Genomic DNA, 23,011 nt, shown 5'->3' on the forward strand with positions numbered 1-23,011 from the left:
TAAGATGATTTCCTTGTTTTAAGCACTTGCATCTCTTTCTGGGTGGGCATGAGAAAGAGGGTGTGGAAATTAGCTTTTGGATGGCATGGGATTGAACAAGATCAGCTTAGTGAGGAAAGTGCTGAAAAGCAAACTTGCATCTGCCAGAACATTCCCGTTAATGGATGTAGCCTTTTCTAATCCTTTATCCTGGATGTGCAATAATGCAATGCCCACCCGGAAATTAAAGCTTTAAAATGACAGCTATGAATTATATTGATGGATAGTAAAGAAGATGACAAAAATGCATTTCTAAAAATTATTTTGCAAAGACTCTCCATCAGGTTCTATGGAAGACAATTTGCAAGGGGTAATTACAGTTGCGTGAACGCCCTGGTCCTGTGCTTTGGTACAAGCAAAGCATTGAACTAATTAAAGAGATACACTGTGGGAGCTGCCAATACTGAGGAAAATGTCAAGGTTCAAATTTTAAGACCAAATGAATATATTCAAATTCTTAGACTACATCATCGTGGAACTCAGTGTCGATGCAGTTTTCAAAATTAAAGTTGCATAAAGTTGTCATGTTTAAGGAGATAACAAAATAATTTGGTCAGTCACTAAAATGCTATACAATTAAAATGAAAAGTAAGACAGTGTGTGAAAGCTGTTACCTAGCTCATATTCTCACACTTTCCCCAATTTGTTACTGCCTGAAGGAAAATTCATGTTAGGGAGCATGACATTTTAATGATTTGCCTTCAGACTGATGAGTCACATGTACATTGAACACTTTCATCAAAATTCATGAACTTGGCAACATTAGTGTCATTTTTAATACAGCGAATAAAATGTGACCTACCCTAATTATAAAAAAAAATTGTGACTCTGATAGATACCCTGCAAAATCAACCTTATTAAATGCCACTTGTTGCTAATTGTGTTTTTACAGACAATGACCTGTTAGCTCTTCTTAATTCAGCAGCTTGACATTGTTGTTTAATAAAATTATACGTGAAGATAGTGATTTTTACAATTGTGCTTTGGTTGTCAAAGTGCATTTTCCCCTACTCCCAGTCCCACAAGACATATGATTGAATCAACTTTCCATTTGATCAACATGTTGTTGCTCCATTGCTAACATAAATTTACTATAGTTGGGAACCACAGTCTTCCTGTTCATCTATCAGAGACCAGTGCAGTGATAGAAGAAGCATTAAGTTATCACTTTAAGGTATAAAAAAAGCTATATAGACTGAACAACCAAGTTGATTATGCTAAGACAGGAATTTAATAAAATCGTTCTTCTCACCTTTACATAGACATACATGAAACATATTTATGAGTATAATAAAATCCATGCATGTATACAAAAGACTCATCTACCTTACGAAAACAAAGATGGCAAGTTTTCAGAATTAAGTACAGCAATTGGTCAGTTAGTGAATATTTTATTTTCATGTTTAATCAGAGGGCACCATAAAATAAGACCTATTTATATGTATAGTTCTGAACTTCAAATTACAAATTGCAGCAAGATTATCTAATTGACTGTATATACCTTTTTGTCTCTTGGGATTTAAATTCTTTCTCTAACATCTCCATGCAAATAACTACTTTCTCCTTAAATGGCTGATGCTGGCTGGTGAGAAACCAGGCTGGACTGGGGTGAGTCCTTTGTGTAAACTCCTCATTGGCTTCTAGGCCGTCTGCTCTCTCCCTTGCCACACTCCCTGTGCCCTGCCCTGCTCTGAGGTTTAAAATGCCCTTACTCTCTGGGTGCAGGCCGACACCCTTCCTGACGCCCACCTTATTTCTCAATGAATGCATAGGAGCAATCACATACATGCCTTCTTTTCATTGTATTTATTTTCTAATGGATATGGTTCTTTAAGTCAGATTTAAAAAATTGCTGGAGGGCTGAGACTTTATGTGTTTTTATTTGTAGCACTTGCCAAAACGGTTGGTGCCCCCTTGGGAATTAATATATTTCATCTCTTAAAAACACTACTAAATAGGCTTGCAATGACAAACAAAATCTCTGCTTTGTCGAGGAGTCTGAATTGACTTCCTGCAGAGAGAAATCCCCGCACCCCGTTTCAAATAACGTTGGTTCCTCTGGGGAGAGCTGTGGGTCTGTCTGTTCTCACCGCCTGCCTCTGCTTCTGGCAAAATCTCTGAGCCACTTCTCCCAAGCTGGTGCAGGGACGGTGGCCACTTCTCTCAAAGTGACACCTGCTTTATGGGCGGAGCATGGGCCAGGTGAAGCAGCTTCAAGTTTTCTAATTTGGATTTCTGTGTGCAACCTCCATCATCCAGGCCCACCAGGGTGCAGGGGACCTGAGTTCCGATGTTCCTGGCTTGTCTTCCCTGGAGTCGAGTCTCTGTCCTCTGAGAGGGCCCTGGGGGGACAAGGCAGCCCCAAACTCTCGAGGAACTTGTCCTCTGCATCACGTAGTTGTGGGGGATGAGAAAGGCTGGAGACCTAACCTCCCACGGAGGCACCAGACCCTTGTTTAGGCTCTGCAGGGTGTGTTCTGTCCCATCTACTCTGCGCGCAGTCCCAAGGAGGGGCTCACCTCACTGAGCTGAGGGCTGCAGGGAAGAGTGAAGCCGACTCTCGCTGCTGTTGCAAACTGCAGCCAATTTCATCAATAGATGTTTCTTTATTAGCCATACACTCGGATAATTTCTGGACACCTAAGAATTTTTTAAGGCCGGGCGCAGTGGCTCACTCCTGTAATCTTAGCTCTTCGGGAGGCTGAGGTGGGTGGATCACCTGAGGTCAAGAGTTCAAGACCAGCCTGGGCAACATGGTGAAACCCTGTCTCTACTAAAAATACAAAAATTAGCTGGGCGCAGTGGTGCCTGACTGTAATTCTAGCTACTTGGGAGGCTGAGGCAGGAGAATTGCTTGAGGAAGAGGTTGCAGTGAGCTGACATTGCGCCATTGCACTCCAGCCTGGGTGACAGAGCAAGACTCTGTCTCAGAAAAAAAAAAATATTAATTAAATATTTTTTACTAGTGTGGTTGTTTTTCTGGAGCTTGGTTCCCTGAAACTCTATATACTGCCTTCGGGAATGCATGCCCACCAGTCTTACTTGGAAGCAGTGTTTGCTTTGTCTTCTCTTTACTGATGGGGTTCCTCTAAAATTCCCGATATATATTTTTTCTTAATTCAGGAGTGCTTTGGCTTGTTTCAGTTTGAAATCTAAAGATTCACATTTGTATTGCTTTGTTTCAGTCATTAGAGTGTCTGTCCCAAGGTGGTCATGTTCATATTTATAAAAACTTGAAGCAATCTTCATTAGTTTCCAGGATAAAAATATTGTCTAATTGAAAAGGAAGTTAAAGAGAATTGTAAGGAAAAAGTAGAAATATAAATGAGCAAGGATTATGTTAACAATTTTCTATTTAAAACTAGTTGCTATTAAGTCAAATGAGTAATGGAGATTGGGTATTTAGGTGTAATAAATATTATCATTTTTAATGTAAGTCTATTTAATATAAAAAATAAAATGCCCAATTTTATAAATCTATAAGTTCAAATTTGCTGAGTTAAGAATCAACTACTTTAGTTGTAGCCTTATCTGTGTATAACAAATTTATATGTATCTGGACATTAAATTTATTGAGACATTAAATTTACTGAGACATTTCCTTGTCTTGATCTTTGATACTCATTGCGCATTACAGAGAGCTTCATACACAATAGCTTTGCAGGGGCTTAATTTTTTGTATAAATAGCTCTTCAGGAAAAAAAAAGTAACTTTCTTACCAACATTTATGTTGAGTCAAGATTAACTAAAATATATTTAATTATCATCTAACTCCAACAATTTACTTAGAGCCACGATAATATTCTCTAGGGAATAAAGAGATGTGCACTTTTAGATGGTACAAAATATTCCGTTTCAGAAAAGGATCCTCCCTGTGAAGGTGCACTCTCTCCACTCCACCGTGGCTGCTCAAAATCTCTCAGCGCAATTTCTGGGCCAGAGCCCCACATTCTGGAAATTTCCTGGCCTGCATACACTTCCTTGCCTCTTTTTTTTTTTTTTTTTTTTTTGTCCTTGTCAGGGGCGTAATCTACTTTAGATGTTTAGCCAATCTTATAATTAATCTGACCTGTTATGTTACCAGAATGCTATATTTTACTTCTTTTTTTTCTTTTCTGCCAGGTGAGACTTTTTATTTTAATTTGCTATTCCAATCTCAAACCAGAGACCAACTTGATCATGAGGACATTAAGAACAACCTTAGAAGCAGAATATTTTTAAAGAATTGCCTGGAATATTATAAAGAGTTATATAATTATATTATGAAGTCTTATACTCCTTCCAACCCCGTGTTTTCAGCTAACACACAATAATTGAGCTTTTATTAAGTTCAAAGCCTTGCAAATTAAATGAATAAATAAATGAAAGAATAAATCTCTAACAGGATGTACTCATGGGCTTTCAGAGTCTAGTAAAGTCAACCCTATATAAATCTATGGAAGAAACTGTGTTGCATAACAGATGCTTATGTTTGATTGATTTAAATTAAATACTTGTACAACTGATGTTTGTTTAAGGCTGTTTATAAAAAAGAAGAAACATAAACCAAGTTAACTAGAATCTGAGTTTCTTGTTCATCTTTGAATGCCATTCTCCTAGTACAGTTGATAAAAATAATGAGTTTAATTCATGTTTGAAACATGAATAAATGACTAAACCAATTGTGATAAGCAAAAACACTTGTATTGAAATCAGAACAGCTATATGTGATTATATACACGGTTTTGTGTATATGTATACACACAAATGTTAAAAGTTAAATTTTATCATTTCAGTCTCATTAGAAGGCTTTTTCTTCAAATGGTATAACTCAGTTCACCTTTCTTGCTTATTTCTAGATATATTAAAAGAGGTATTAGGAATGGGTGCAGTGGCTCACGCCTGTAATCCCAGCACTTTGGGAGGCCCAGCCTGGAGGATCACTTGAGCCCAAGAGTGCCAGATTAGCCTGGGAAATATAGGTAGACCCTATCTCTACAAAAATTTTCAAAATCAGCTGGGGATGGTGCTTACCTGAGGTCCCAGCCACTCAGAAGAATGAGGTGGGAGGATCGCTTGAGCCCAGGAGGCCGAGGCTACAGTGAGCCACGATTGCACCATTGCACTCCAGCATAGATGACAGAGCAAGAAATTGTCTCAAGAAATAAATGAGGGGAGGGGTTTTTTCTAATGGCTCAAAAGAGAAGATTTAACATGTGTCAGAATATATTTTCAATAACAATTTGTTATTTGGAAGAAAATGTTTCATTTTCTTTCATTTTCAAGAGGTTTCATTACTTATGAAACCTCTCATTTGGATTAACCACTGGAGCAGCTTGCAAAACCTTGGTCATGGATATCCATTCAGGAAAGAATGTAAGAGCGTCTAACTTTTTATCCTCGTTTCCTTTTGATTCCACTTAAATTATACCACATGAATTATAAAGGAAATGGCATGGTAAACTCACTGCGACCCTGCAAACTGTGATGGGACCATCAGCATATAGAATTTTTCAACAGATTTCTGAATTGAAGAAAGTTAATGTGCCCGCCTTGAATAGCACAGTGGAGTAAACTACAGGTAAATATAGGCCTAGAGGGCGTGCACATGGGAGCTGACCTCCAGCAGAACAAAGACACAGAGACCCTGATCTCTGAAACTGTCAGCAGAATGAGACGCGGGGTGAAAATAGAAGGGTTATTTAAACGTATATCAATATGACTTTCTGTCTACATCCCTGTTCTAAATTCATAAATAATGTGGCTACCCACGAAGGGTTCACAGCCATCATTCCTACCTCAGCAACACAGTGGAGGCACATTTATTAAAATATGGACAGAAGTATCCAGAAAAAATCATGGAGGAAAGCTAATGAGAGTCGTTGACCTCTTAGAACTATGCTGCAAGCTGGAGTGTGGTGTCACCTCCTCCAAACGGTCTGCTCCCAAATGACTTACCCGCATGCACACACTCATCACAAACCCTCCTGTTATAAGACATAAATGCAAGATCGAGTAGAAACGTACATGCAAGGAAAATCTTTAACATTGAATTTAAAATTCCAGTTAAACAGAAAACTATTTCTAAATGAAACAAAGGAAGAAAACCTTAGAAGAGTTAGACTTAAATTAGAAGAATTAAACTTAGAATTTAGAAGAATTCAAGAAGATGTTTTATCCATAAAAGAAGAACTGGATTTTATGGATAAGAAATAATTAGAAAATGTAAAGATTTTTTTAGAAGACAATTGTGTTTGCTGAAATTGAGAAAAAAAAGCTTGGAAAATAAGGCTATGGAAGTCTCACAAAATATGAAACTAAATTACAAGGTTCAGAGTATGTGAGAAAAACATTAAGAGAGAGGAACCCAAGCGATGGGTCCAACATCTGACTAATAGGGATTTCAAGAAAGAGAACATAGAGAAAGTGAAGGATAGAAAATTAACAAATCGGAGAAGGGATCTCTTAGTGACAAAAGGCATGCGTGTTCTAAGAGGAAGCCTTACTAAGTGTTAAACAGCATGTTTTAAAAATACACCCATCTGTCCAACACTGTGAGCTTGTAGAACTACAATGATAAAGCAAAGATCATGGAAATCCTCATTTCTCATGAATTTCTTCATTGGAAATGAAGATCGCGCTCGTTGGTATTCCACGTCTACAAGTTAAATTGGACTATTATATAAAATGAGACAACTTCATCAAAGTGTTTTCAGGAAATGCTTATGATACTTTTATATCCTCATCTAAAATATGAAGAGCAGAGTCTACCAAGGCAGGCTAGACTGGGAAACATTCAAGCACTGGTGGGTTGATCCTCCCATGCAGATACTCTGGAAGCGTTGTTTGAGGTCATTCTCCTGGGAAGCGGCGCTAAGCCCAGGCCAAGAGAAAGGGAACCTGGGACGGGAAGAGAAGAGGATCCCGCATGGAGGAGTGATCGGGGCACATTGCAGGCTGACAGCTGTGGGCACAGACCCAGTACTTTCCATTAGAGCAAAGGGAGGAGGGCCCAGGAAGGAGAGCTCTGTGTAGGGAGAATTCTTGAGGCTAGACAGTGTGACGAAATGTTGGAAGAAATCAGTCATATGACGAAAGCAGAGAATTCAAGGACATTCTTTAAAATCATGTCAGTGTGAACGCCAAGAAGCATTTAAGGAAGTTGTCGAAGAAAAGAAATTTCCTCCTAGGAAACTGTTGAATCATTATCTTAGTCTGTAGCAACACTTACACATAATGCTATGAAGCCCTGTATTGTCAATTAGAATCAATGGGCAGATAAAACAGGAGAGAGTGACGTTTAATAGTGTAATGGAAATGTTACTGAACCAAACATTGAAAAATATAGTCAACAAAGAGAGACAAGGTGAACGCAGGTGGGGGCACATTGACATCCTTATTGTACAAAGTGCAGAATCTAAATATGGACTCCAAATCTGATGAAAAATCAAAAGTAGTTTAACTATAGATCCTTAAAAATCACCCAGTTAATCGACAGGTGTTGAATTGCACTGAGAAGGTAGACAGGCAGACAGGTGGTGGGCAGTGTGAACTAACGGAACCACCACCTGTAATGCTAAACAGATAATCATAAAGTAGCCACTTGTTTCTCCTCTTTACTGCCATATATGGAGGCAACTTCCAGAACAACTTAAAACAGGTGTATAAATGTTAAACATTTTGAAACTGGTGTTTTGGGATCTACTGGGGATGAGGAGATTCAGGGTTATGGAGTAAACAAAAGTCTGTTTAATCAGTAATCCCATAACAATTTGATTTGGCAACTATCTATTATTTCCAAAATAATTCAATTTACAAGTTAAATACGGTAGTGGAGGTGTGATTTTTAATTTGTAGATAAGAACATTGAATCTTATAATGCAAGGTAGCTTTGCCCCACATCTGGCTAGTGGAGAAGAAAGGGCTGGACAGCCTGTCTTGGTCTCATGCTCTTTGCCCCAAAATACAGTAAAGGAGGTTGTGAGGTGGAAGTTTCCAGGAAGGCTGGTGATTCTGTCAGACTCATATTCTGGGAAAACAACGTTCAACCCAAGCCGACATTGATATTGTCCAGAGGTTGGGCTAAAGAGGGTGAGGAGAGCCCCACAAGACTTCCTTCACACGTAGAGTGGGGATGGTTCCCACTGAGAAAGAACTATGCCATTTGCTGCTTGCTTAGAACTGAGAGTTATTATTTTTTCCTTTCCTGCTAGAATGAAGGAAAAATGGGCTCTGGATAAGAGTCTGCTACTCATTTTAAATACCTAATAAAAGTCCTGCATATGCACTTGAAGTGCCATCCCTGCGGGGAGGAAAGGAGAAGCCCAGGAAATATTTGAACGCAGGTTTGAGGTTATTTGAATGACTAACGAAACTACTAACAACATTTATTCCTAATGAAAATGAAGATATGATTAGAGTTTCTTTTTAAGCAAGCACAGCATCTCCTGGCAACCACTGATTTTATTTGAAAAGAAGTGCCTTTACCATATCATAAGGTGTTTACCTGACTCTGGGACTCAATTGTTAAAATATTGAAGTATTGTGACTTATAGTAATCAAGTCTGCATGCAATTTTCTCTATAAAATAATTGTAAGCTTCCACTGTATTGAAGTGGAAAGCTTCCACTGTATTTCTTTCTAATAAAAAACCCATGTGAAAGAGGGGAAATTTTCATTAAATTCTAAAAGAATTGTTTGTTTGATTACCATCTAACATGTAGAAAATTTTGCAAGAATTTAAATCTGAGAGATGTCATAATTAATCACTGTTTCTTATTCTAACAGACAGCATAATACACATAAATTAGTACTGATGGGGAAAATAATTCAGTAATATGTGGTTTATAGGTAGATTTTTTTTTCTGAATATCTTTGGAAAATGTACAATTTTCAGAAGAGGGCCAAGTCCATAAATGTGTGAACTGTGAGGTCCTGTGTCACCTTCTTTTGTCCTGTGTCACATACTTCAAACTTCTGCTTGTACAGTTTCTAATCATAAATTTTTATACATAAAACTGAAGATTGGTGATAAGATGATGAAGTATAAACAAATTGCTTTATAGTATTTAAAGTATAATAGACATTCTTTTAGTACAAAAATATATTTTTAAAAAAATCAGGCCAGGTGTGGTGGCTCACGCCTGTAATCCCAGTACTTTGGGCGGCCAAGGCAGGTGGATCTCTTGAGGTCAAGAGTTTGAGACCAGCCTGGCCAACACGGTGAAGCCCCCTCTCTACTAAAAATACAAAAATTAGCCAGGCGTGGTGGTGGATGCCTGTAATCCCAGCTACTTGGGAGGCTGAGGCAGGAGAATCTCTTGAACCCTGGGAGGCAGAGGTTCCAGTGAGCCAAGACCGTGCCACTGCACTCCAGCCTGGGTGGAAAAGCGAGACTCCATCTCAAATAATAATAATAATAAAATAACATCAGTGTTTAACGTGAAGAGGAGAAAGATTGAGATATCTGTTCATTATATGTAGGTAAATTAAATGTTTTATCATCTCTACTCCTTTTGTCAATATAAAAGTTACACATTTTTAATAAACATACAATGATCACAGAGATGGTTGAAGGTGTCTGTACCCGCTTTCCACCTTAGCAACAGTTAATCACTGCTGTCGTTTGCTGCATAATTTTCCAGATGAGTTTTCTTTGTTACAGTAAAATGCTTTATATTTCCAGTAGATGTGCCTTTTTGTGACTATAGCTTTCCCACTTATCAGCATATTGTATATTTGGCATCTTTTCAACTGTTCTTTAAAGACACATTGCCATCAGAGAGGCTTAAACTGCTTTCAATAAGATCTTTTTTTAGACTTAAAAAGTTCTTAAGATTAGTCTAAACAGTATTACTATACTGTTCAACATATAAATATACTATTTAAATGTGGCTGTAGTCTTGGGGATTATAGGAAAACAGAACATGAATGATATATTAAGAAAAAGGTAACATGAGATGGCAAGTAGTAATGAGAAAAAACAAAGACTTTGAAGACTGCCATAGTTAATGTCCCCGCTGTTAGTCTCTATGTATTTAAAGAAAAAAAAAAAGCTAACTACTTCTTTTATTAAAATACCCAGTCTGTTAGCAACCATGTGACGTATATAGTATATGAAATACCAATATCCATTCAAGGAAATTTATTTATTTATTTAGCTATTTATTTATTTATTTATTTTTGAGACAGGGTCTTGCTCTGTCGCCCAGGCTGGAGTGCAGTGGTGCAATCTTGGTTCACTGCAACCTCTTCCTCCTAGGTTCAGGTGACTCTGTGCCTCAGCTTCCCAAGTAGCTGGGATTAGAGGCATGTGCCACCACGCCCAGCTAATTCTTGTATTTTTGGTGCAGATGGGGTTTTACCCTGTTAGGCAGGCTGGTATTGAACTCCTGGCGTCAAGTGATAAGTCTGCGTCGGCCTCCCAAAGGGGTGGGATTACAGGTGTGAGACACCGCGCCTGGCCTCATTTCAGTAATTTTAACAGTGCAGTTGTCTTCCCTCATTGCCCCTTGATCCCAGAAAGCCTGATGGATAGAATGGCTATCTGTAGAGAGGGAGGGAGGAGGAGAAAGAGAGAGAGAAAGAAGAGAGAGGGAGGACAGAGAGAGAGACTGGGGCATAAAGAAGGAGAGAAGGAGGGAGGGAGAGGGGGAGAAGAGAGAGGGAGGAGGAGTGGAAGAGAGAGAGAGAAAGAGAAAGAGAGAGAAAGAGGGAGGTAGAGAGCAAGAGAGGGTAGAGAGAGGAGGAGGGAGGGAAGGAGAGACACATAGGGAGAGAGAGAAGGAGCTAGGGAGAGTGGGGGAAAGAGGGGGAGGGAAGAAGAAGGAGAATAGGAGAAGTAAAAATTAACCAGGGAAATGAAATCACATTTGTTTTTAAAGAAGGGAAGAATAGCAACATTTTTAAAGTGGATGGAATTAAACCTGGAAAATGAAACTGAATAATATTAGAAGAGTTGGTGGGGTAGGGGAACCAGAGGCCCGCCGGGTAACGCCCTCTAGAAGGCTAAGGGCTTTTCTGGAGAAGCAGGGCCAGCCCCTCCCTGCTGCCTGGGAAGGTGGAACTCGGGGTGCTGGGGAAGGCTGAGGCCTGGAAGTGCTGCTGGTCTGGGCGATGTCTCATCTGACTACTGCAAAGGGAAGCAGGAACACCGCAGCTACGGGGGAAGATGCGCTGGGGCTGTAGTGAGTGCAGAGACGGGGTACTGGGTGAAATGATGGGCTAGGGATGGCGGCCCTGAGTGCACCCGGAACGTCTGGCGACTGCGCAGATCCACTCGGGGCTGGGGGGGTTCTCACCGTTGCAGTAAATGGCTGTGCATTCCCCCCATTTTTAATTACAGAGAAAGGAAGTGTTACTTTGCAGCAGACTTGCATCTCTTCAAAAACTCCTCTATTACAGGCAGCAAAATGCCCCGCCAGGCAGACAGAAGTGAAATCCCCTGGCAGTGATGCACATGAAGCTCTGGGTATCAGTAGTTCACATTTAATAATATGCCCGTCATAAAACTCATAACCTAAATTCAAAAGCCTTTCAAAAACACTCAGTAAGGTGGAATACAAGGGCAGTACTAATTATAAACTCTGGGGAGTTATGTAGGGAGATTAACGCACCTCAGCAAATATGTTTTCCTGAGACCCAGTGCGGGCTGGAGCTCTAGTCCACGGATTGTCCGAGGCCTCTTTATTGCCGCTTCGAGGCGCGTGTGGTCGGGGGTTTACATATTCATTAAGCAGCCAGCTCGGAGCCGCACTTCAACAGGTCATGAGCGCCCACGGAGATGAATCAGCTACTGGCACCAACCACCACCACAGCCATATGCAGCGGAGTTTATTTTATTTTATTTTATTTTATGTGTATTTCTCCAGACCACCCACTAAATTTTATTTCTTTTTCCAGGCTGCGTCCCTACGCTTAGTTCAGAAACAAGACACGATATTGCACTCCTGTTTTCACACTTAGAACATAGTATAGGGACAGGTACGGTGGCTCACGCCTATAATCCCAGCACTTTGGGAGGCCGAGGTGGGTGGATCACCTGAGGTCAGAAGTTCAAGACCAGCCTGGTCAACACGGTGAAACCCCGTCTTTACTAAAAATACAAAAATTAGCTGGGCTTGGTGGCGCGTGCCTGTGATCCCAGCTACTCCAGAGGCTGAGGCAGGAGAGTTGCTTGAACCCAGGAGGCGGAGGCTGCAGTGAGCCAAGATCACACCATTGTGCTCCAGTCTGGGCAACAAGAGAGAAACTTCGTCTCAAAAAAAAAAAAAAGTATAATAACATTGATTTCTGATCTGTCTTCATTTGGGATTATATGTTTAGAGGCCAGTGACTTGAAAATGGGATGGGCCTGAAAGAAGGAGATAATAGAATTATCCAAATGGATTTGTTCAAGTCTGCAATATTGGATGAGAATGCAAATGTATGCAGCTGAAAAATGCATCTCCCTTTTTTCCAGATTAAAGCATCTTTCAGTGTGTGAGTGCTGGGTATTCTTGTGATCTTTCACCGTGTAAGTGCTGTGTGTTCTTGTGAGTAGGAAACTTTCACTGCACTTATCTCCAGGCAACGTTTAATATTACAGTTCTTACATTTTCATCCACTGAGGCAGGTGTGTGCTGGTTATGTCTCTGCAGATTTAATTTGCATTTTTTGAGGGATAGTGTGTTTGAGTACTTTTATATACACTTACTGACCACTTGAAAACAGTCTTTTGTGCAGTACTCTTTATGAATTTCCCCTAAATTATAATGGGTTATTTATCTTTGTATTGCTCTGTAAAAATACTTTGTCTATTTTGAATGCTATTCATTGTTGATTCTAAGTGTTGAAAAATCTTCTAGGCTATGGCTTGACATTTGACTTTCTTAATACTGTCTTTTGATAAATGGAAATGCTTAATGCCTTGGCTTCTCTTTATAAATTGTACCTACGCTGATGTCATGGACATATTTTATTTTGTTAACTTTATTAACTTCCACAGGTAGATTTAAAGACAACCTGTTACTTACTTTTCTGTTACGTTTTGTGTCAGAGGTGAAGAGACCCTTCTTTCCGTACAGCACCACGTGTCCATCATTTACTGCTAAAATAGTGCTGCACAGGGAGCCACACTGAAGCCCAGTGACTTGAGAGAATGAGAGCTTACCCAGCGTGCCAGGCGGAGGGTCAGCGGTTGAGGCTGGACGGGCCTCAGGCGCTCCAGCACCTGCTTGTGGGTCAGCTGAAATACGGCAGAAGAGACTAGACTATGCCACTTGGGTCTCATTTTCTTCTCTGCATCTATTGATCTAAAGATATGACTATGTCATTTTATTTCTAGTTTGTTAATTGAAATGTAACAAAATCATTTTTTAGCTTGAATCATCATTGCATCGCTACAGTAATTCTAAGCTGGATTTGATGCATTGCTCTTAATTTTTACATTTCTTTCTTTCTTTATTTTTGAGACAGGGTCCCACTCTGTTGCCCAGGCGGGAGTGCAGTGGTGCAATCATGGTTCAGTGAAGCCTCGACCTCTTGGGTTCAAGTGATCCTCCCACCTCAGCCTCCCATGTAGCTGGGACTACAGGCATGGACTACAGCCATTTCCAATTTTTTTTTTCTTTTTTGTAGAGATGGCCCAGGCTGCTCTCAAACTCCAGAGCTCAAGTGATCCGCCTACCTTGGCCTCTCAAAGTGCTGGGATTATAGGCATGAACCACTGTGCCTGGCCAATTTTGGCATTTCTGAATTAGATTTGTGTGACAGCTAATTTTATATGTCAACTGGGCTGAGCTATGGTGTCCAGCCATTTGGTCCAACAACAGTCTAGACGTGGCCTTGAAGACATTTTGTGATATGATTGACACTTGCATCCATGGACTTCAAGCAAAGCAGATTATTCTTCACAATGTGTCCTTCTCTAAATAGCTGCAGTTCTTGAGTGCAGACTGAGCTCTCCTGGGAAGGAAGGACTTTGTCTCCCTAGACCTCTCTTCGTGTGTGTGTGTGTGTGTGTGTGTGTGTGCATGTGTGTGTACGTTCTGGGGCCCAGAACAATCAGAAAGTCTGTAGCAAATCCAGCTTCGTGCAAGCTGATGTGCTGCTTGATCTGCTGCTTAGGCCATGTGATCCAGCAGACCCAACGGAGCCTGAAGTGTCTGTGGCAGAGAGGGATGCTGCATGGGGCCTTTGCTGAATTGTAGTGAAGGCCTTTAGGATTTTGGAGGAAGGCCTTGCCATCATCCCAGATGACTACTCTCCTGTTGAGAGAAAGCTCAGTGTTGTCCTGTTACTGGGTTTTAATAGAAGCTGGCCACCTGACCATGGACCACCTACTTGCTGTGTGACCTGAGCTGCCCAGCATAAGCTGGGGACGCTGACCCACCACTCTACAACACTGGGGGTGCACAGCTACCCTCCATCCTCAAACAGAAGCAACAGAGCGTGACCAGTGCTGAGCAGGTCCTGGAGACACAAGTAAGTCACACGAGGCAGTGGCCTAAGAGCCCATGGGCCCCACTGCAGCCTCACTGCCTTCTTTCCCCAAACCTGCACCTGTGGCCTCATGGGGAGATCCCTAGGATCCGTTGACAGAGGAAGAGAAGACCTGGGCCTGAGTTACAGATGGTTCTGCACGGCATGCAGGCAGCACACAGGAGTGGATGCTGGCAGCACCAAGCCCCTGTGAGGTGTCCCCAAAGGACAACGGACAACGGAAATCCCCCCAGGGCAGAACTCCAGCAGTGCCCATGGATGTTCTTTTTTATTCTTCTTGTTTTTTCATGTGTGTGTGTGTGTGTGTGTGTGCGCGCGCACATGTACGTGTGTGTGTGCGCATGTACGTGTGTGTGTAGAGAGAGAGAGATGATAATTATCGTCTTCTATTTAGAATATATTGCCTTTAATGTTTTATTTCCTAGTCATGTCAAATATTTGTGTTGTAAGCAAACAGTATCTGAATTTGCCCCATAAATGCATATTTATTTATTCAAATATTAATACAGGTAAAATAATCTTTGTGTATCTATTATGATAACTTGAACTCGTCAGGGTGGTAATGACACAATAGGGGTGCAGCCGTTAGAACAGATATGTGTGAAGAAGAAACACAGAAGTAAGGATTCTAACTTCCCAGGACCCATGTGCCCTTTTCTAAAACTTATTTTATTTTTGTACATATATATACTTTTAGTAGAGATGGGGTTTCACCATGCTGTCCAGGCTGGTCTCAAATTCGTGGACTCAAATGATCCATCCACTTTAGTCTCCCGAAGTGCTGGGATTATAAAGCATGGGCCACTAAGTCTGCCCCGTACTTATTTTTTAAATGAATAGTCTTTGCTTTGAGGAGCCCCTCCTGTGTTCATGGGCCCCACCTCCATGTGTCATCATGGGATAGGCTGGATCCGCTGACATGAAGAAGGTGGTTATTCAAAACACACAGCAACGATAAGCAACAAAATTTAGACCCTGAAAAATCAAGACGAATACCAAAGCACCTGATAAAATTATTGCATTTGGCAGGGTGTGGTGGGTCACACCTGTAATCCCAGCACTTTGGGAGGCTGAGGTGGGCAGATCTCTTGAGCCCAGAAGTCCAAGACTAGCCTGGGCAACATAGCAAGACCCCATCTCTACAAAAAAATACAAAAATGAGCCAGGCATGGTGGCACACACCAGTGGTCCCAGCTACTCGGGAGGCTGAGGTGGGAGGATCACCTGAGCATGGGGAGGGTGAGGCTGCAGTGAGCCAAGACAACACCACTGCACTCTAGCCTGGGCAACAGAGTGAGCCCTTGTCTCAAAAAATAATAATAAAAAATAATAACTGCATTTGTCTATGACTACAGATTGTATATACTACACAAATAAGTGATGAAAAGAGAGGGTAAATCTGTTGCAGGATCATGAGGGTACACATGATACAAGCAGAAACCCCTGGATAGAAGGAGGGGAAGCAGAGTTGGGCCCCATCACATTTTGCATTTGAGCTCTTCTATTAATAGCCTGAGATTATTATGGCTTTCCAAAAAATTTAAGTCATTTGAATCCATTATTGATCATTGTGTCTGTGAACAAGCTCCTCATATAGCTAACAATCTTCTTTTTTTAATTGGTGGTTTGAGAGTCATATAATTTAATGACCAACATAGGATTGATAAATTGATTAAATGCCTAAAAACAAAACTAAACTCAGACAATCTTCTGCATTTTGACCCAATGTCTACAGTGAGTACAATGTGATACTTAAAAGAATAACTTGATAGCATTCCATTATAATCATTACTGCCTAACTTATTCAATGCAGATTCCATAGAAACACACACATGAAATGGTGATTTAATAAAATCACCTGAATTCCTAAAAATTTTTAAATCTGTTTGAAATGTTAATTCTATAATTAGTTTTATTTCTTATTGTTCTGTTTAACATGTCACATAAACATATTTGTATACTATTTATACTCACTGAGTTTTTGAAATAAAAATGAAAAATAATAAAACTGTCAAACATATTTGACAGTTTTATTATTTTTCATTTTTATTCTTCCAAAACTCAGTGAGTATACATGGTACAGGGAAAATTTGAAATAGAAAAACTCGGTTGAATATCTACAATTTTAAATTATTCTTTGGGTAATAATTTTGTTCATTTTTATTCAAGAAAATACAAATCCTTGTTTGTGGGGCTCAGCATCATGATACGTTACACTGTTGGCTTCGTCTTCTCATGTATGACAATCGAGGCCCAAGCAGGAAACAGTTGTTTATAAAACTGGGTAACTGAAAAATGAAATTAACGAAGGGAGTGGTACCAAGTTATGTGGGCAGATGGCAGGAAACCCCCACGTGACCTGGAACACAGAGGCAGTAAATATCAATGCCACAGAGAATGCTGTCATTTTCTGCGAGTGAGGCCTGCTTCCAGGAAAACCGCAGAAAGGAACAGCTTCATTTTTTATAAACTTCATACTAATATTTTGCTTTGAGAGTCATTCCTTAGAAAGTAAATTGCACAATGAACCCAAATTATTTTGTTAGAATGTTGAATCCGTTCAGGCATTTCCCAAAGAACCTGGAGAAAACTGGCTTCGTAAGGGATTGAGTTCGAAGTTACATCACTAGATCATTTTAAAGCCAATCCTACAGCCATTGTATTGTCAGTTTTGGAACCCTAAGCTTACTGGTAAGTTCAGAAAATTGCAAGTCATATTCCAGTCTTCTGGAATTCAGGCATATTTTTGCTTTCTGCATTCAGGTATATTTTTATTAGTACATTTATGACACAAATCTAATGTTTCGGCTTAAAGCAATACAAATGAGGACAGAACTGAAAGTATGCATTTGAATCTTGAATCCCCTTCTGTTTCTCGCCCAGTTAATTTTTTTCCTGTGGTGTCTACTTTACAACACAGGGTGCACAGCACACTCAGGGCCCCATCATAACACCCACTCCTGTGAGCCTCTCTTCCCCCTCCACGGGAAGGATTCAGGCACAGACCTTCGAAGTAATCATTTCCTCAAAAATATTCGCGTCAGCCCCACCGCCCACTTGATGAAAGCCGTCATAGCAGTGAGTAACATCGGAGCATAACATCGCGTCCTCCGGAAGGCCGAGCACCTGCCAGGTGCTAGCACACATCATAAAAGGGCCGACGGCAACATAAATAAATGTCTCTCGGTGGCGGAGCCGAAAAACCTGAAATGCACTTCTGAAGTGAAATGGCCACTTCTGCAAAGAGCGGAAAGGTAGCTGGTAAACGCAGTAGGAATACAGGCACAAAGCGTGGTGAGAGACTCGCCCAGCGCTTTCCTCGGTTTCTCCCAGGGCTTCCGCGTCACCAGCTTCTGCCTGCTCTCCTCCCCAACCCCAGAGTAACATCTTTCACGCAGAGAAAATGAGGGGAGGCAAACTGAGATTGATAAGTGAATGACGATCCTTATGACTATGACTTTAGGCCTAAAAATAAGGAAGGCCAAGCTTTTCTTCCCATCCAGTCCTAATGGTTCCTTTTGGCCAGCAGTGAACACTTTCTCTGTAGCATTAATGTTCAGTTGACAGAAGGGCTCCACGGAGGATGTGTCCTTTAGATCACAGAGATTGGAGAGTGCAAGAGAGGAGGCAAGATGCCTCCCCCAACAAGAAGACACCCATGGCAGATCCTTAAGGTTGGATGTATCCGCATAAAGTTAGAACCTTCGGACGTAGGCACCCCACGCAGGCCCAGGCCCCGATGGTGAGTGCTGCCTCGGCCTCCAGAGCTTCCCAGGCTCCAAAGAATTCAGTCAACGGTCCCATTAGCAGTGCATGGAGGCAGCTTATGCTATTTATGGTCAACACCAGCTTAGGTTTGCTCTGTACCCGTGCCTGTGGCAAAACAGGATGTAGGAAAACTTTATTTTATTTAATCAGAGGTGATGAGCAACTAACCAAAGCATAGTTAAGATCATCCCAACATCGTCCACTCAGACCCCCTCCAGGGGCCCATCGTGTTGATTTTCCGAGTTCTCCCCGGGACATGGGCTCTGGGGAGGAGGAGGCCTCATGGGAAAAGTTCCGTTTTCAGCTGAGCCTTCTGAATAGCAGGAGATGAGCAGACTCAAAGTCACAAAGATGTTCATCTCCAAATACCGTAAGTTTATTATACCACTGATGAGGAGTCCATTTCTCTCGTGACTAATGTGGATGGCTTTTGCTGAAGTAATTCAAGTTGATCTTTAGAGTTGAGTGTAATCCATTATTTTTTAATGGAAAAGGGTCTCATTAAATATTTATTCACTGCCTTATGCAGCAGTGCGTCTTGGAGGTGCTGACGACTCCTGCCTGCTGACCAATGGCTTTTCCACACGTGTCATTAACACGGCCATTATGTCACCAAAAATAACACATGGTCAAACTACTGCCTCAGGGAAAGCTGGGGACACTCAGTATCATTGAACTCCCCCAAGTTTAACGAAGGTGGAGATTAATATCATAATTTCCACAGAAAGGTGGAAAGAAATGCAAAACAAGATGGACAGGGACAGTTCTGGCTTCAGTCAATATTCTAGAACTTGGTTCTACTCTTTCTAGGACTTGTTTTGTTCTAGCTTAAAGATGACATCAAATATTAGTCAACCAATATTTGGGATATAAGCAGAGTGTCTCAAGCTTCACCAGCTAATGGGTGTGAACATGTTGTTTTATGTTTTCAATTATGTTAATATTTCAAATATTACTTTTCCTGAGTTTCTTTCAATTTGATTAAAGTCCAGTCATTTTCTGGGATTATATTCAGAATTGACTTCCATGAATATCCTTGCTGGATGGGCCTGGCTGCCTCCCCACTGTAGCCGCCATTCTCAGGGAAAACGTGAAGTCCACCAATTCATATTCTCTGAGTCCTCACACCGGTCCCTAATGTTCCCGCCACATCATCATCATCAAGTCCAGGATTTATCTTTATTTATCTCTTCACTGAGGCAATCGGGAAGCCACTTTTTAAGTCAGGCGGAGGTGGGTGGCTCTGTCTTCTATTTATATTCATTCCAAGAGAAACCCAGAGCTAAGCCCTAAAGAGTTAAAAGATGAAAACAAAGCAAGCGCATATATACACAACTCACTTTGCACTCAAGGAGGACTGGCCCATGCTGTCAGTTATATATTATACAGAGAATCTCCCATTCCCCTGGAATCTCCAGGGCATGATGTTGCATCAGAACCAGTTGAGACACCTAATCCCTTTAGAATTTTCTGCAAGCAATCCTTTACTGCAAGCTGCACTTGGAAGGGCTCTGTTCCTGACCATCAGGCATGCATTTATTGCTCTGAACATCAGTGATGGCCCAAATCTGAATTCTATTTTTATTTTTTGGTGGGAATCAGATAGTAATGTGATTAAACGTGTGGGAGAGAGCTTGGGTGAGGCTTTGGGGTCCTCATCCAAACCCCAAGTCAGATGCAGGAAACAGTGAGCCTTAACCCATGGAGAATCAGCATCTGATAGGCCCCACATGACTTCTGTGTGTACCATGCTGAGCTTTTATTTTTCTTGCTGTTATTAAGGTACGACACTACTTTTTTGTAATTTATAGTTTAAGAAAAGTATTTCATTGCATACGACTGTTGTCTAAGACTTTGAATCAGTATTATTAAAAAAGTGACTTAGTACCGTGAGTGGTAACCTAATTGTCTTGGGAAGCTGAGAAAAGAACAGAGGTGAAACAAATATGTAAAATATGCCCTCTTTGGGGTGCACAAGAAAACCAAAGAATGCCATGACATACTCTCTATATAAAGGTTTCAAAGTAGTTCAAATACAGACAAGTGGTGTGAGAACTGAGTGGTCAATAGCGGGGTGCTCTCCCGTGGGACTCCAGAACAAGCTGGTAACCCAGGGTCCTCCCTAAGCAGGGGGTCCCATTGCTGGGCTCATCTTGGCACTCACACAGGGGCAACAGCTTGTTAGCATTAAGCCTAGCGGAAAAAATACCAGAAAAATGTTGTTGTCAATATGTTTGGTATATTAGGTTGGATAGCAATATCAAATAATTGCATTGCATGAATTAAATCAAGTAACTAGAGGACATTAAATAAAACTACATAATGTAGGTCAACTCTGATGGGAATTAGGTGATTTTTTTCCATCCCTTTATGAGTGGTTGCTCTATCAATTTGTGCTAGCCTGACCTGGTGTAAAGTTATGTCTCTAATCTCCAACTTGCTGATCCAAACTAAAACTTGCGAAGGCTGCAGAGCCAACTCTGCTGACATCATACCTCCAGGGAGAGATGAGGGGGACATTGTTTTCATTGTGTCTTCCTTAACAGATACGTAAAGCAAAGACAATTAGAACACCTCCCAGGAGGAGCCAAAGGATGTTGTTCATGAAATCGTTCTCAAGATGACCTCTCAGCCATAGGTGAAACCCAGCATGCGCGCCCCATGAACTCTAATACCAACAGGAAGTGATGACCTCTCAGCCATAGGTGAAACCCAGCATGCCCACCCCACGAACTCTAATACCAACAGGAAGTGATGACCTCTCAGCCATAGGTGAAACCCAGCATGCACATCCCACGAACTCTAATACCAACAGGAAGTGATGACCTCTCAGCCACAGGTGAAACCCAGCATGCCCACCCCACGAACTCTAATACCAACAGGAAGTATGTTCTGAGTTCCCTTCTTCCATGGTTGTTTAAGCATAGACTTATATACCAATAAATCATTTCCTTAAAGTCTGTTTCTAAAGTGATCTATTATTGTGATTCTACTCCATAACCTCATTAAAACTATGCAAAATATTCCTTGTTAGATTTAGGTCACAGGTATCCCAATTATATGAAAACATTCTCAATAAAATTTCTGGTATCCATTTTTCTAGTTAAATAGCCTTCATTTCACCAAATTACTCCAATGTTGACTGTATGTAGCAATTACGTTTGTGTTGTATATTCAAACATGTGTAGTACCTCACGGTAGCAATTACCCATTTCTTTTTAGAGCTCGTAGTTCTTTGTTCTTCACGCATTTCAAGATTATTCCTTCTTCTTCACTTCAAGTAGTTAATTCACTTTTCTTAGAAACCAGTGAGTACTGAAGATACTGTTTTTCATGCTCACAGCCATTCCACATCTACTTGGAGCTCTATTTGTAAAGTTTAATTAATTCTTTAATCCTGCTGCTGCTTTTGTTTCATGAGCTAGTATCTCGAACGGTTTTTAAATGGGTGTAAATGTACTCTGCTTTGCTGACACACTTAAGTACCTCTTCTTGGCTGCTCTATGTGCTACTGACAAATTGAAGACATTACTAGACGAGAAAAAGTAAATAATCATACTTTTCCTGGGAAATCCAAACACATTTTAACATAGCTCTAAAATGTTCATACATCTTGTGTGAAGAGAGTGTAGGAAAAACAATATCCATAATTTATGGGTAAAGTATTTGTGTGACGAGATGGTAAAGCATGTTTTCAAAAGGCAGAATTTTTTTCTTTATTCCAGGTTTTTGTTGTTGTTGTCTTAGGTAAACCTCACACCGTTTTCCCATTACGTGTGAAGATAACCTAGTGGTCTCCCGAGGAATGGGGCTGGGGATTCTGCGGCTGTAGTCAGGACATAGAAGGTGGAGATTTCAGGCACGTGACGCGTGAACCCAGCCAGAGTCAACCTGTGTCTGTGCCCTTTCTGCAAGGGTCTCTACAGCCACCATCCAAACTACAGCTTCCAGTGGCTGCATGGCCAATCCCACAGACATCATATCTCTAGGGAAGAGACCAGGGGAAAGTTAGGGGATCCTTCTAAACAAGGGCTTAACTCCACTTCTGTGGTTTTTAGCCATATAATTTACTCTTTTTCTCCCTTTGCTCCCTGCAGGTCCCCCCTTTTATTCAGAAGTCCCCTCGCCAAGCAGCTTACAAAACTCTCTCTTCGTCTCAGTCACCACAGAACAACATGATTCTGTTGGTTTATTTATTTATTTTATTTTATTTTTGTGTGTGTGTGATGGAGTCTCACTCTGTCACCCAGGCTAGAGTGCAGTGGTATGATCTTGGCTCACCACAACCTCCGTCTCCCAGGTTCAGGCGATTCTCCTGCCTCAGCCTCCCAAGTAGGTGGGACTACAGGCATGTGCCACCATGCCTGGCTAATTTTTGTATTTTTAGTAGAGATGGCGTTTCACCATGTTGGCCAGGCTGGTCTCGAACTCCTGACCTCGTGATCTGCCTGCCTCTGCCTCCCAAAGTGTTGGGATTACAGGCGTGAGCCACTGCACCTGGCCCGTGATTCTGTTCTTATGCCTGACGCCTTCCGTCGGGGGAGCACTCCCACACTCAGTGCTCCTTGCCTTGCCCTGACGCCTTCTGTCTCGGGAGCCCTCCCACACCTGGTGCTCCTTGCCTTGCCCTGACACCTTCTGTCCCAGGAGCATTCCCACACCCGGTGCTCCTTGTCTTGATGACTTCTGTCTCAGGAGCCCTCCCACACTCAGTGCTCCTTGTCTTGCCCTGATGCCTTCTGTC

The 23,011-nt window shown here is 41.3% G+C and overlaps 2 annotated features.

Moving 5' to 3' along the window:
• Positions 17,051–18,250: an enhancer, noted in NCBI's record as "CDK7 strongly-dependent group 2 enhancer chr10:1980919-1982118 (GRCh37/hg19 assembly coordinates)". NCBI's record gives its function as "activates an origin of replication core promoter dependent on BRD2, BRD4, P300/CBP, MED14 and CDK7 cofactors, with strong dependence on CDK7, by STARR-seq in HCT116 cells {active_cell/tissue: HCT116}" and the evidence as "EXISTENCE:reporter gene assay evidence [ECO:0000049][PMID:35650434]".
• Positions 20,362–21,561: an enhancer, noted in NCBI's record as "BRD4-independent group 4 enhancer chr10:1984230-1985429 (GRCh37/hg19 assembly coordinates)". NCBI's record gives its function as "activates an origin of replication core promoter dependent on BRD2, P300/CBP, MED14 and CDK7 cofactors, and independent of BRD4, by STARR-seq in HCT116 cells {active_cell/tissue: HCT116}" and the evidence as "EXISTENCE:reporter gene assay evidence [ECO:0000049][PMID:35650434]".

This window comes from Homo sapiens, chromosome 10, assembly GCF_000001405.40.
Source record: "Homo sapiens chromosome 10, GRCh38.p14 Primary Assembly".
Lineage (NCBI taxonomy): Eukaryota > Metazoa > Chordata > Mammalia > Primates > Hominidae > Homo > Homo sapiens.